This window comes from Homo sapiens, chromosome 5, assembly GCF_000001405.40.
Source record: "Homo sapiens chromosome 5, GRCh38.p14 Primary Assembly".
NCBI lineage: Eukaryota > Metazoa > Chordata > Mammalia > Primates > Hominidae > Homo > Homo sapiens.
Genome location: NC_000005.10, coordinates 58,389,344 through 58,404,249, shown reverse-complemented (window position 1 = coordinate 58,404,249; position 14,906 = coordinate 58,389,344). Strand labels below are relative to the sequence as shown.

At 38.5% G+C, this 14,906-nt stretch overlaps 1 long non-coding RNA gene across 2 annotated transcripts; it reads left to right on the top strand.

The window, feature by feature from the left end:
* Positions 1-3,449: 3,449 nt before the first annotated feature.
* On the top strand, positions 3,450-13,982 carry LOC105378984 (uncharacterized). 2 transcript variants are annotated; one of them, XR_948352.2, is made up of 3 exons: positions 3,450-3,794; positions 10,302-10,398; positions 13,719-13,982. It is a non-coding gene; the product is annotated as an uncharacterized LOC105378984 (long non-coding RNA). The 2 variants fall into 2 exon arrangements; XR_948351.2 differs by lacking the exon at positions 3,450-3,794 and adding an exon at positions 3,981-4,167.
* Positions 13,983-14,906: the final 924 nt, after the last annotated feature.

Here is a 14,906-nt window from a genome sequence, read left to right as displayed (position 1 = left end):
TGGTTCATGTTCCAGCATGTCTCATTACGCAGGTACAGTTTTACAGTAAGAATCTACTGCTACTCATAAAGCTCTGTGATTTTTAGATGTTTAAATTTCATTTGGATAGGCAAATCTAAAGATCTGTATCAGTCTTATTTTCTAGAGTCACAATTATAATGCACTGTATTTCCTCTTTGTGTCTAAAAGGCTTACCGTCCTGTAATACCTGTATGTCTGCCTGGGTCAATGACTGAGCTGCTGTCCTTGGAGCTGAATAGGTGATATGAGCTCATCCACACTGGTACTCTCCAGGACTACCAAGGGCAGAAAAATACACAGAAGAATGCCCAATTTGGGGATAACCTGTCAAAGTCTTCCTCCCAATAATCATTCCTAGAACAGCGACAATGTTTTTTGTAGCTCTCACAGAATATATTTTTCCTCCTACTGATGGTCAGTGCTCATTATATGAGTGAGACATTTAGGAGACCAAGAAGAGCATCCAACACTAAGCTTCTTCTTTATCTGTATGCAAATAAAAATTTAGAGTTGATAAGATTTTCTAGTAGATTTAGGTTGATAGTTTAAGGACCACATTCCAATGAAACTTTGGGGAAGGAGGGTTTCTAAGCAATTTGTGGAGAGTTGTATAAAACCATAAGGAAATCCATTGACTCCATAGCTTGGGGATCTGGAGTCTTCCAAGTGCATGGCACCCTCTGTAGTTGTGCAATTTAGTGGCTTTAATTTTGTGAGAGTCACCCTGAACAAACAGGTCTCAAAAGTAGCCTAATAGAATTAACTAAATCGTACCAATGGAAAGTATTAAAAGCAAAAAAGCTAAAAGATTATTGGAACAGGATCCATAAAACTGTGTGGTTTTATGTCATATTTTTTTGGGGGGAAATCTAAGCTTTCCAGAGGTAGCCAGCAAGGTCTGCAAGTATTTTAAATAAGCACTTAATGACACAGGAAATAAAATTACCTAATTCCTTAAGATTGTCTCTAAGACATGAATGTAGGACTAGCAAAGCAAAAGTCTTTGAAAATAAAGCCAAGACATGACTTAGTGGGAGACTATTTGATCCTGAGATGGATTTACGTTAGTGGCCTAATAAGAGTCGAAATGATTAGATACTTTATTTCTTCTTTTTCATTCAGGGCTACTTTGGGTCACTTCTACTTCTCTAGTTGGCACAAATGTATGGAACCAAGAAGTATTTTTAATTACTTACCAGATGTAAGTAGTTTATTTTCCATGTCAACTATGTGCATATAAAGAAAAACAGCTTAATAAAACAGATTTCACAAAATGAATTTTGTAACAGCTTATTAACATCAGAAGAGGAGAAACTCCCTTTTCTTTCTGCAGTTTTCTATTTGTTTTTCCTGAGATTTCCTCATCTGTACCAGCTGTTCTTCTGTCCTACCTCTTCACGTTTACTCTGAATTTCTGTAAAGGACTATTCCCTAAGTAATTGTGTAATCTAGGGGTCTTGCTCTCTTCCAAATACATAATGACACCGGTTCTGGGACTATTGGATGTGACCAAAGAGAGGGCATGAGGAGAGAACTTTGTAATGATGTTTGAGGGGCTGGTGTAATCTATGGGTTAAACATCATGCCATTTTAATGTAAGGAAAAACTGTTGGAGAGAAAGACAAAACGAAGCAAAACCAAATCATAATCTTCCTCATCTATCTGCTCAATTTATCTGTCATAAACTCTAAAACAAGCATGCTAGCATTCAGGTATTCGTTTATTGATGAAATTCAAAAGTTTTCAATAGTTATGTTGCAGGATAAGAAACAAAAAGATAAGTGAGGCACTCTGCCTGCTGTGAAGCTCATCAGAAGTTTGATTATCAAGCCTCTTTATACCTATTCCTGAGTCCTACACCCATAACTCTCAGAATTCTGAGGAAGTGCAGTTTTAAGAAATCTTGATTACAGAAAAGAAACCTATTTTTCAGGTTTGATTATAGAAAAGAAACCCATTTTTCAGGTTTTCATATTTTTGCTAAGGCAGGGGTTGGCTCAGGTGTACTGGAAAAATGCTCTCCTTCTACCTTTAGGTTTTTCTCAGGGACAGGGTGTACAGGAAAGGGGCTCGTTAAGCCATGCCCAAGGGGGAGCCTTCAGTCAGAGGGCCTGCCCAGCAGAGCCAGTGGAAAGAGCTGGTTTCTGGTCCCTGGAACCTGGTTAAACATAAGAGGCCTGTGGGAGCTTGAGAATCATGGGCAGAGGAAGGAGTTCTTTCCCTTTTTCAGGGTGGGAGACATAAGAGCCTCCCTGCTGCCAAGGCTCCTGCTCACTGAATATCACCTCTGTGATCAATCCTGGCAGGCTTCCAGACCATTCTCGAAGAATGCTACCTGCTCCAGGGATCTGTGAGATGCCGACAGCTGAGGTCAGACCCAGAGTGGTCATGGCTCAGGGGAGTCTAAAGGCTGGGGTGCCAACCCTGGTTCTCTCTAAATTTCTCTGTGACCTGGAACATATCACTTGGGCTGTTTCTGAGATATAGTTGACTTATAAAATTTAAGGTTGTTTGGGGGACAGTATCAATACAACCTGTGAGCATATCTGGTACATAGAACATGTTCAATAAATATTTGCTTTGAACTAAAGGATCACTGAGCAGAACCCAAATCTAGCCCGCAGCTGGAGGAAGAAGCCCTCCTCTTGGCTTTATGACAAGATCAGGTGATGCTCATGACTTCAATACATGGACTGGCCACTAAACCAGGATTAAGGCCACCTACTAAAGGGTTAGGGTGGTATGGTGCCACCCCAAAACAGGTAAGTGAATTCTCCAGTTTTATATTTTCTGAATTATTGTTTCTCTTCACTAACCTTGGATAATCAGAGTTAGATTGTATATAGTTATTTCATTCTATGTTTCTTCCCAGTTCTGATTCTTCATCAAGAGAAATGTGAGAATTCTAACACGTATTTCTTTCTTTTGAAGTTGTTATTTTTTGTAGAGACAGGGTCTTGCTAAGTTGCCCAGGCTGGTCTTGTACTTTTGGCCTTAAGTGATCCTCCTGCTTCAGCCTCTCAAAGTGCTGGGATTACAGGCAGGAGCCAATATGTCTGTTCTGTCTTTCTTATTCATAGTACAATAACATGTTTTCAAAGGAAATTGTGGTGGCATTTGCTAAATAAATTTACAAATTCATAAAACTTGTAGTGAAACATTGGCATATAAATAACCTGAATGGAAAAAGTAAGGGCCATGACCTGGATGTTTATTTGTTTTTTCACAATCTGGTCTAAGCGCATTATCAGAGTATCCATGCTTCTCTTCAGGACAAATAGTTCTGTTGGAATGATCTATTCCTGGCAGAATTTAGAGCATGCAGAGACTTAACACTCTGGAAATAGCTCATTTTAATCTAATTGTTGGCATAGGTAGATTTTTCCTGAGGTTGTTGAAAGTGCTTTGGTCACTTGGATAAAACTGTGCAGATTACTTGGAATTTCAACAGCTTTTCAGGGGCATTTACGTACAGCCTTGATTTTTATAATACTTCATGCCTTGTAACCAGCAATAAAACTGACCACTATTTGTAAAAAATAAAGCTCAAAGACTCCTCTGATAATACCAGATAATAGATACTCATCTGCTCTGAACTAAAGGATCACTGAGCAGAACCCAAATCTAGCCCGCAGCTGGAGGAAGAAGCCCTCCTCTTGGCTTTATGACAAGATCAGGTGATGCTCATGACTTCAATACATGGACTGGCCACTAAAAAAGGATTAAGACCACCTACTAAAGGGTTAGGGTGGTATGGTGCCACCCCAAAACAGGTAGGTGAATTCTCCAGTTTTATATTTTCTGAATTATTGTTTCAGAATATTGTTTCAGAAATCTGAGAATTTCTGAATTCTCAGATTTCTATAAACTGTAAGTATATACATAATTCAATGAATCAAATCAACAAATATTTATTGAGCACCAAGAATTGCCGGAAGGGCTGAAAACAGAGCAGTGACAAGACTAAAGAAGCCCCTGCCTTCTTGGAGCTTACAGTCTGGTCAGGAAGGCAAACATTGAATAAGTAATCATCAGTGTTAACAAGAACCACCTTCAATGGAGAAAGCAGCCTGCTTTGGGAATGCCTGGTAGGAATTTAACTGCCAGAGAGGAAAGGTTTCCCAGAGGAAATGTGAGACCTGAAAGGTGAGTAACTGTTAGCCAAGAAATGAGGAGGGGCTAATAAACAGATTTGGGTTTTCTTTTTCCTTAAGGGTTGTAATATGCTTTAAGCATGATCACATGATCATGTTCCCTTTATAAAATGATTACCTTGATGTATAAAAAATGGACTAGAAGTCATGCAAGAGCAATTACAAGGAGTGTAATTAGGAGGATATTACTATAGCCTAGGAGACAGGATTGTGGATATAAATATGAAAATACATATTTCCTATGCATATGGGAGTAAAATGAATATGACTATGACTTGGTGCCTAACTGGATGCAAAAAATGAAAAATGCCATGCAGGGTCCAGGAGGTGAATCAGGGATTATGTCCAACAATCTGTTTATCACAAAATAAAGCAGTAAGTTCAAGGTAATTTGGTTAACCTGATTAATGTAGTAGGTAATAAAGTTGCTTAAAACCAAATTCAGCAAAATTTCTCTTACCTGAGTTGTTTGTGTGTTTTAATGTAATTAGAGAAGTGCTGATTCTGAGCCTTATTTAATGATGTGCATGTAGTTTCAATTAATGAATGGAGTTAAACACTAAACATTTCAAATATCCATTCTAAAATTTCAAAGCAGGTCCAAACCAAAGATTTCCACTTCGAAGGGCCTAAGTCAAATATAAACCCTATTTCCATATTTTGAAAATTTCTTCCTTTCCAGGAATTATTAGTAGTAGAGTATGAAAATTATATCTTTTTTGGCTTGTTTTTAAATCAAAATTTTAATCCCTAGCAAATTTAAGAGGTAGAAGATTATAGTGCTAAGTGCTAGGTTTGGGAATCTGACTTGGATTGAAATCCCAGTGTCATCACTTACTATGTTGACCTGGACATGTTAACTTCTCTGAGCTTCATTTTTCTTCATTAAGCAGGGTCTATTATTTCAAAAGTGATACTCCACAGTGTCTGTTTTCTTTCTTCCAATTTACTTCTCTTCTTCTGGCATTGGCTATAGGTGGAGTAAAGTGCCAAGTTTAGTGTTTTATGGTTATTCCTCTCTTGTTACTCAGGATGAGTATTTCTTGCTTCTTAACTCTGGTAAGGTTGCTTGTCAGCAACAGTGTGCCTCTAAAAGACATTACATAAAGCAATAGGATCAGCTGCCCTATGGAACATTAAAGATACTCCAGGACATATTTGGTAATGCTGATTAAGTCTCCATTCAGGCATAAGTGTGCTTGGGTGAATGTGGAGTACTATCACCTGGTTTGGAGTTTGCATGATCACCTGGACTCCTGTGTGCAACTTTACTGGGCCTACTGCCTGACCTTGACATGTCAGAGTTCAAAGACAAAGGCTAGAAACGGCCGTGGGTTATCCCTGGTATTTTACAGCTACCTTCTCTAAATTCTGTAGCCAGGCAAAAGGGGAGAGGGGCCAAATGAGAGAGTTTTATCTGACATTCTGAAAGACATTTTTGAACAAGATTAAAGATGAACTTTTACTAAAGGCATACACATAATTTACATATTTAACACTTCTGCTTTCTTTTATTTTTTCTTCTAGTCAGCTAAATTAACATTAATCTTTTTCAGCAAATCATATGAAGAATACTTAGGAAATTTCAAAAATACTTGGATTTTTTATGCCTCACAAATTAATGGTAATGATAACAGAGCACATCTTTTGGCAGTAATCATGGATTATGCTTCATTGTGCATCAAGAATTCATACTTTTCAAGAAGCTAATTTCAGGTTTCATGGCTGAAATTTATTCTTGGCCTGGAACAAACTGTATTCTAGAAGGCAAACTCAAAAGTCAATCACTTGATTATTCTCACCAAAGAAAGAAAATACTGGTACAAAACAAAACTAAGATCCTTATATAATCTACTAATCTAAATGACTCCAGTTATCAATGCCAGGAATGAAATGCATCTGTTATTGCTTGACTAGTTAAGATTAAGAAAGTAGCATACTTAAATATCTTTTCCCCACACACTCACCTCCCATTTTTGACTATTATAAATTCTGCAGTCTTTGTACCAATTAATTATTATTACATTCTTATAAATACTATGATATTCACCTTGTTTTATAAAAGAAATATGTGAGTAGATTCCATCTGTAACTTTAAAGGTAACTTACATGATTTTTGTGTTCAACACTAGTTCTTCATCAATTATGCCATTTGTGAGTACTTAATTTTATCCACTTTTTTGGGCTAAATTTTTGGGCCAGATTTTGAAGATTTTCTTCTGGAGTCTTTGCAAGTACAGGAATGTCTTTCCGTTGCTTATACACAGCAACAGTAACTTGAATGAATGTAAAATTTTCAGTTCCTAGTCTTGTCTTCTCAAAACTTTGCATATTGATCTATTGTCTTCTCATATCTGATGTTCTACATGAGGTGTCTGATTGTTTTTTTCTCTTTGATGATACACAGGTGTTCTTTTTTACATGTAGGTGTTTGTATGTGTCTTTAGTTTTCTTGATCCTATATATTCACTGATTTTCCTAGGTTTTGTTTAAATGTCAGTTGATTATTGTAAAATTTGCCTGATATGAAGAGTCTTCTTTTCGACCAAAGGGTTCTTTTATCAGATTGATGGGCGGGATTCTACTATAGCTTTCCATATTATTTTCATGTCATTTATTCTAATATTTTTAGAAAAGCAAATTATTTCTATGTTTTTACTGTTTTTTATGTTTATCATCTTTTCTCTGATGTTCTAATGATCTCTTCATATTCTTTCCTATGAAATCTAAGTGATTGTTTTCAAGGCAGTATTTATCAGTACTTTAATTTTCTGCAATGTAGATTGTGTTTTCTATTGATACTATTGAAAATTCTGCATTGGTTTTGCTTTTTAAAACTTTATCTCAGCTCTGCCTACTATCACTTTATCTCCAGCCTCTGTGTTATCATCTTTGTTTCATTTTACCATGCTTTCTTTAATTTCTTTGAGAAGCCAAAGCATTTTCTACCTAAAACTTCACTTACGTTTCCTTGAGTAAATCTTTAAAAGTATACTCTTGAGAAATCAAAATAAACTTTTAAGCCCTTCAATGGACTGAACAGACCATCCCTTGGCCAAGGACCCCAGAATAAGCTTGAAAACTGAGTTCTCAGCCATGAGAGCATGGGAGGTTAGACACGCCTCATTGTACCTCCTCCCTCTCTAACCAGGATGAGGCTTTCTTCTCTAAGGGCTGAACAGAAACCAGCCCTTTCAAGAGTCCACCACTGATATCAACCAACCAGCTGACACTGCCCCTCCTTTTCTGCCTGATAAGAGACCACCAACCACAGAACGATTCTGGTTAGTCTATGGAGAATGTGCAGTAAGGGTGTCCTTTGCTTCACCTTTTGACATAGAAGAACTGAAAATGCCACCCTTAGATGATGCTAATGCAGCCACTTTTGTACATGGGACCCACGAAGGAGCATTGAACTCCATTGCGTATGTGCACATTTCTCCTCTCATAAATATTCATAACTCCTCCTATAGTTTATTGAATATGCATATTTGTCCATCTTGTTCCTATAAATTCCTGTTCCCTTTGCCCCTTCCCAGCTTCTGGCTGAGGCTATGCTTCCTAGCCTGTCAGAATAGCCAACCTGCAGGTTGCAACACTTTATGAGAAATCAAGGTCTCCTTTCGAAATTTATAAACTTTGTCATTCTTCAGCTGATACTTTCACCTGATCTTTTCATGCTTTGTCTTCTTTTGCATTGCAGAATCCCATCATAGACTCAAAAGTGTTCTTTTTTTTTTTCTTCTTCTTCTTCTGGTTACTCATTCTTGAATAAGGACAAGCTTATCTGGGCTTAGTAGATGCCCCCAAATAATCTATGCTGTTTCTTATGGTTTCTTCCTGGTTTTCCTGGGCTCTGACAAGGCCTTCCTTTTCAAAATTAGTTTGGAATCCTGAATGAAAATTAAGAAAAAAAGTCTTTGTATTACCAATTCGGAACTTGGGTGTCTATAGTTGGAGGGGAAATGAGAGTGAGGATGTGGTATAGAGTCTCAGGAGGGCAATTTTTGCTCTGCATGTTTTTTAAAAAATCTTGGTTAAGACCCCTGCACCAGGGACCAACTTTCTGTCTCTGGCTTTCAGTTTGGCCCAATCTGTACTCCAGATACAAAGTGTGGCTATGTTTTTCTGGATCTCCCTCATGGAGGCTGTAGATTTCCTGTTGAAGCAGAGGATTCTCTCTTCCACCGGGGATCTCTCTATTTTTAAAAAGTGGTCCTCGCAGATCAGAGCAAACTGGTCGCACTGGGGAGAAAGTCCGGTCGCAGAGAAGCAGTGACCTCGTCTCCCTCCAGCACAGCTGCTCCTGAATGCTCTTCAACTGCAGCAGCTCTAGGTAAGCTGGTCCCCACCTCTCTGCAGTCTAGCATCATCTTTAGCTTTCCCTCCTTCAGATTAGGGGATTCGTCTCCATTTTTGAAAGTACCATCTCGTGTTGGAATCAGTTCTTGACTCCACTGAGAAGCTGGGTCATAAAGACGCACACTTCTCCCATGGTGTTCACTGGGTATAGCTGCTACTGTTTCTCAGAGTGCTGCTCCTGGAGACTCGAGCTGCTGTTAATCCATGGCGGTGATACTTTATTCTCTAGTGCCCTTTGGGACTTGGCCAAGCCCTCCAAAGTAAAGTCTTCTGGAATATTCTGCCAGGGTTTTCATTCCTGGGGTCGCCTTTGCTTATTCTCTGTAATATTGCTCCATTCTTTTGAAAAGAGGATTTGTGAGTCAGTCTTTGATATTATTCTAAACACACTCCATCTAAACCAAAATCATCAACTTTTGTCGTAAAGGGTTGCACAGTTCCTTAGATCCAATTCTGATGAAAGTTTTTCATTAAATTTTTTTTCTTTAGCCTTGTTCGTGGGGGTGGGGATTGGTTGTAAGCTTCCGCATATCACAGTCTTGTCAGGGATTGCAAGCTTCCTTCTTTAAAAAATTCCTTCATTCTTCTAGCAACATGTTCTAAGAAGTTAATCACAAGAGTTCTATGTGATATTTAAGAGATTTATTTAATTTTAGAGCTGAAAGGCTGTTATATAAGTAATCTAGGTTGGAAGCAAGTACTATGATTGATTTGCTCTCCTCTTATAGATGAGATATATGCAGTCTGGACAGTAAGGTCAGGTATAGTGCTTGTGAATACTCAATACTCAAGCTCAAGCATCCAGATGCTCTCTCTGGCTCTTCTTGCCTCACAACCTTTGACTAAGATCAAATATGTACACATTTTCTGTGGATCAAATAAGAAATTATCCATTTTGTCAATATCTTATATTCTTGATTGTATTTGAAAGATTAAAATAAAACTATAGTAAATTCAAAATGATCATTATATACCTATGTCTAATAAAAATGATCAAATAAAAAAGGATAGAATAGTAAGACCTAAATTGTCTGATTATGTTTATGCTTTGCTCTCTATGGTGATTGCCTGTGGATCACACATCACCAAACATAGATTTTCTAGGTTACAGTATTGATGTACAGCAAATTAGCTTATGCTTGATTTCCATAGTTGTTGTTACTTAGTCACCTCCCCTCAAGGCTTCTTTGCCGGATGTTCCAGCATTAGAGGTAGAATTCATGTCTGCCAGTTGTTCAAATAGACTTTTCTTTCTGGAGACATCTGCTTGCCTGTCACAGTGTTCTTGCGTGAAACTTCTGTACCTGCTGCTTGTCTGTGGTTTGGCTGAAGTATTGCATTGTAATTCAAACCTGTGCATACAGAAAATGCTCTGAAATGCTACATTTTACAATTATCTTATTTAACCTTGCAGCATATAGCCACGATGGCTACTCTTTGTCTCTTTAAACTCGACTTTTCTGATTTCCCTGATATCTTTAAGGTTCAAAAAGAGCGTATGATTCTGGAATCATACTGTCTGAGTTCACTTCTGCATCAGTTAGCTATTCCCTCAAAAATGCTGTGTAACAAAATAACCATATACTCTTCATGGAATACAATAATAAGAATTTATTTCTCATATGTCAGAACATCAGCTGGGATGGTTCAGCCAGATTTAGTCACGTGGATCAGCTGGGGATCTGCTAGGTGAGTGTACCTCAAGCTGCAGATCCAGCTAGCTGCAGATAAAACTCAGGTAAACTCCCTGCATAATCATTCTAGGAACCAGGCTGAGGACGCAGCAAGCTTGGTGTGATGCCAGAAACACAAGAGAGCAAGTGGAAGCCTGGCATACCTCTTAAGTCCTAGTTTGAAACAGGTACGTTGTTATCTCTGCCCACATTCCTTTTGTCTATAAAACTCAAATGACCAAGCTCAAAGTCAGTCAAGGGGTGAGGAAGTACACCATGCCTCCGGTAAGAGGGACCGCAAAGTCACATGGCAAAAGGTGTGAATACAGGGAGTTGTGAAGTGGAGCCAATAGTTTCATCCATAGAACCCCAACAGGACAATCCTCAATTCTGTGGATTAGGCAAATTACTTGCTGTTTCTGACTTATGTCTGTTTAAGAGAGATCATAATTCCTATCTCACAGGGTTGCTGTGATAACTAGGAGAAAAATGCATATGAAAAGATTAACACAGAAAGTGCCAATAAATGATAGGTGATTTTGGTAGTGGTGTTACTTCCTGCTTTTCTTCCCACCCCTCTGAACATGTCCCTTGCAAGCTGCTCTTCTCTGGCCTGATTCTTACATATAGTTGCTTCCCAGGATTCCAATCAGAGTCCTCCTCCCTTCTCAGAACTCAGGTAAGCTCCCTGCATAATCATTCTAGGAACCAGGCTGAGGAGGCAGCAAGTCTTCCTCCCTTCTCACACGCTGCCTGGGTGATCACTTTTGTATCCATAATAATTCATGCTAGAAAACCATGCTGATTATCTCAAACCTCTTTCCCACACTTATGTATGAAGTCTCTAGGCATATATCTTGGGTTCTATCTTCCCTCCTTGTTTTAATTTTCCTGCCATAGCAGTTTTCCTGGAATTAGAGCAGCACCTATAATCCCAGCTCCCTGTGCTGAAATAGGCAGCACCTAAATGATGTACCTTAAGGGGCCTAAGAAGCAACTGAGCGAAGAGCTCCCTCCTTTGCTTGCCCGTGAGAGAAATAAAAACAATCACTCTTTAAATCTATCGAGGGCTTTATTATTTTTCACATGCATGAGCTGACTTTAGCCTCCCTATACCTGCTCTGAATGAGATATTTTATTTCCATATTAAAGTCAGTTATTTGTATGAGTGGGGACTGCTTAAAATTCCCTTTAAAATGCAAACATATCAAGGAGAAGCAGCAAGACAGAAGCCCACTTTCTACCCAGCACCACAAATCAATGCAGATTGGTTTATCAGGTTAATTTAGCGGAATGATTCAGACAGGGAATAGAAGATGGACTGCTGCATTTTGAGGTGAAGGGACGTGGAGGCTAAGAGCTGTGCCCCGGGAAATCTGGGGTGGGGAAGCAGTAAGAATGAACAGATGCTGGGAAACACAGCAGGGGGAACAGCAAAACCCTTTCTCATAAATGCTGTTGAGAGCCAGTTCTGCCAATCAGTGTTTCCCAAAGAGGAGCTTGGAAGCCTCTGAATATTTCTAGAGGCAGCCTCGGTAGTTGTTTCTATGATTGTCAACAGAAATCAAGAAGGAAGAGTTAAGGGACCAAAACTGACAAAAACAATTTTTAAAAATCTGTTTTTTTGTTGTTGTTGTTATTTTTTTAATCCCAAGTAGCTGGAATTACAGGCATGCGCCACCACTCCCAGCTAGTTTTTGTGTTTTTAGTAGAGATGGGGTTTCACCATGTTGACCAGGCTGGCCTTAAACTCCTGACCTCAAATGATCCACCCACCTTGGCCTCCCAAAGTGCTGGGATTACAGGCATGAGCCACCACGCCCAGCCAAAAAATCTGATTTCTTAAGGAGCAATTAAAGAAACAATTACTGAAGAGGATGACTAAAACTTGATGTTTAGAGAACTATTAAAGAATTTCTTTTTAAAAAGCACTGTGGAGCCTAAGGAGAAAGAGATTATTTGTTAAAAATAAAAATGGGAGCTGACATAGTGTAGCCCCAATTCAGGAATACTCATGGCAAAGATAGAGTTCTGAAGGAGAGTTGGAGGGGTGTGGAGGAGCGGCCAGTGTGTCTCCCTGAGCCCAAGTTTCCTGTCTAATGACAAAAACACAAGTCTCTCTCGTTATCCTAGCATAGGCTGATGTTGGCTGCCTGAACTAAGCAAATGGCCTTCCTGAGAACCCGATTAGAAACAGCTTGTATTTTCTTCTACTCGTAAGGTCTTGAAGAGGATTTAGCAGACATATTCCATCAATGTGCTCTGTAGAATTCCACCTTGTAACCTGAAACCTGTTCACTAAGTTTCATGAGGTTACGGTTTATACTGAAAGGAAAAAAGGGGAGTCCTTCTGAAAAGGACATAGAGACTATTTTTATGACCTCAGGATAGGGAAAGGTATGTTAAACAATATAGAAATCACAAACCATAGATGAAAAGAATGACTACATTAAAAACAGTAATATTTTTAAAAGAAGGTACATTATAAAATTCAATTTTTTGATCAGCTTTGGCAGAAAATAGCATTATAAAACATAGGTCTACAAAATATCTTGTTGCATGGAATTTATAAATTAAGTTGGAATTACTATGTCAATAATACTGACTCTTTACATCCATGAATATGATATAGCTCTTCCTTTACATAGGTATTTGTTTACATTTTTTAAAGCTTAACATTATTCTTAATAAGCTCTTGCATGTTTTATTAGATGTATTTATTCCTAGGTATATAATAAATTTTGGGGGCCCAGGGCGGTGGCTCATGTCTGTAATCCAAGCACTTTGGGAAGCCAAAGCAGGAGAGTCAGGGATTTGAGGTCAGGGATTTGAGACCAGCTTGGGCAACATATTGAGAACCTCATCTCTACAAAATAAAAATAAAAAATTAGCTGGGTGTGATGGCGCATGCCTGTAGTCCCACCTGCTCAGCGAGGCTGAGCCAGGAGGATCTTTTGAGCCCGCGAGTTTAGGGCTTCATTGAGCAATGATTGCACCACTGCACTCCAGCCTGGGCAACCAAGAGAGAGGCTATCTATGAAAAAAATCAAATCAAATAAAATAATATTTGTCACTATTGTAGCAATCCTTTTTATTTATTTTCTGTCACTGGTATATAGGAATTCAATTGTATATTTATCTATGTCTATACATCTAGTATTTTTAGTTCTAGTAATTTCTTCATAGGTTCTTTTAGATTATTCCACAAACCGATTGTCTGTAAATAATATCTTTCCATGGTAAATAATGAGGGTTGCCTCTATAACCATTTTTGTGATCCTTATGATAGCTTCTAATTTTGTTCACTAAAGCCAGATATTGAACTAAATTTTCTAAATTCCTTTGTAAGTAAAGGAGTCAAGAGTACAAAGTTCTGATTAATTTGTCGTAAACAGAAATCTTCTGGTGGTCTGGGGGTGTTTTGAGAGGGACAAATGCATTGGGCATCTTTCCCTTTGCCTTTTGCCCTTTTTTTGTTTTCTGCCTGGAATGTGTATGTGATGCCTAGGAGTGCAACAGCCATCTTGTGAGCATGAAGATGAAAGCCCCACACTGAGGATGACAGCATGGGAAGATAAGACGTGCCTAGTGACATTCCAAACCTCTGTAAAGGCCTGGGACTACCTACTTCTGAACATCTTCTTATGTGAGAAAAATAAACCCACATTTGGTTAAGTCTCCACTTGAGGTTTAAAATAGATAGCCAGACAAACAAACCTTGAATTTGTTAGCTTTCATTTACTTTATTCTGTTCTGGTGTTTTTTTTTTTTTTTTTTTTTTTTTTAGTATTTGATTGTGTATTTATACCACATTTTCTTTATTTTTTTTTTCTTTTTTTTTTTTTTATTATACTCTCAGTTTTAGGGTACATGTGCACATTGTGCAGGTTAGTTACATATGTATACATGTGCCATGCTGGTGCGCTGCACCCACTAATGTGTCATCTAGCATTAGGTATATCTCCCAATGCTATCCCTCCCCCCTCCCCCGACCCCACCACAGTCCCCAGAGTGTGATATTCCCCTTCCTGTGTCCATGTGATCTCATTGTTCAATTCCCACCTATGAGTGAGAATATGCGGTGTTTGGTTTTTTGTTCTTGCGATAGTTTACTGAGAATGATGGTTTCCAATTTCATCCATGTCCCTACAAAGGATATGAACTCATCATTTTTTAAGGCTGCATAGTATTCCATGGTGTATATGTGCCACATTTTCTTAATCCAGACTATCATTGTTGGACATTTGGGTTGGTTCCAAGTCTTTGCTATTGTGAATAGTGCCGCAATAAACATACGTGTGCATGTGTCTTTATAGCAGCATGATTTATAGTCCTTTGGGTATATACCCAGTAATGGGATGGCTGGGTCAAATGGTATTTCTAGTTCTAGATCCCTGAGGAATCGCCACACTGACTTCCACAATGGTTGAACTAGTTTACAGTCCCACCAACAGTGTAAAAGTGTTCCTATTTCTCCACATCCTCTCCAGCACCTGTTGTTTCCTGACTTTTTAATGATTGCCATTCTAACTGGTGTGAGATGATATCTCATAGTGGTTTTGATTTGCATTTCTCTGATGGCCAGTGATGATGAGCATTTTTTCATGTGTTTTTTGGCTGCATAAATGTCTTCTTTTGAGAAGTGTCTGTTCATGTCCTTCGCCCACTTTTTGATGGGGTTGTTTGTTTTTTTCTT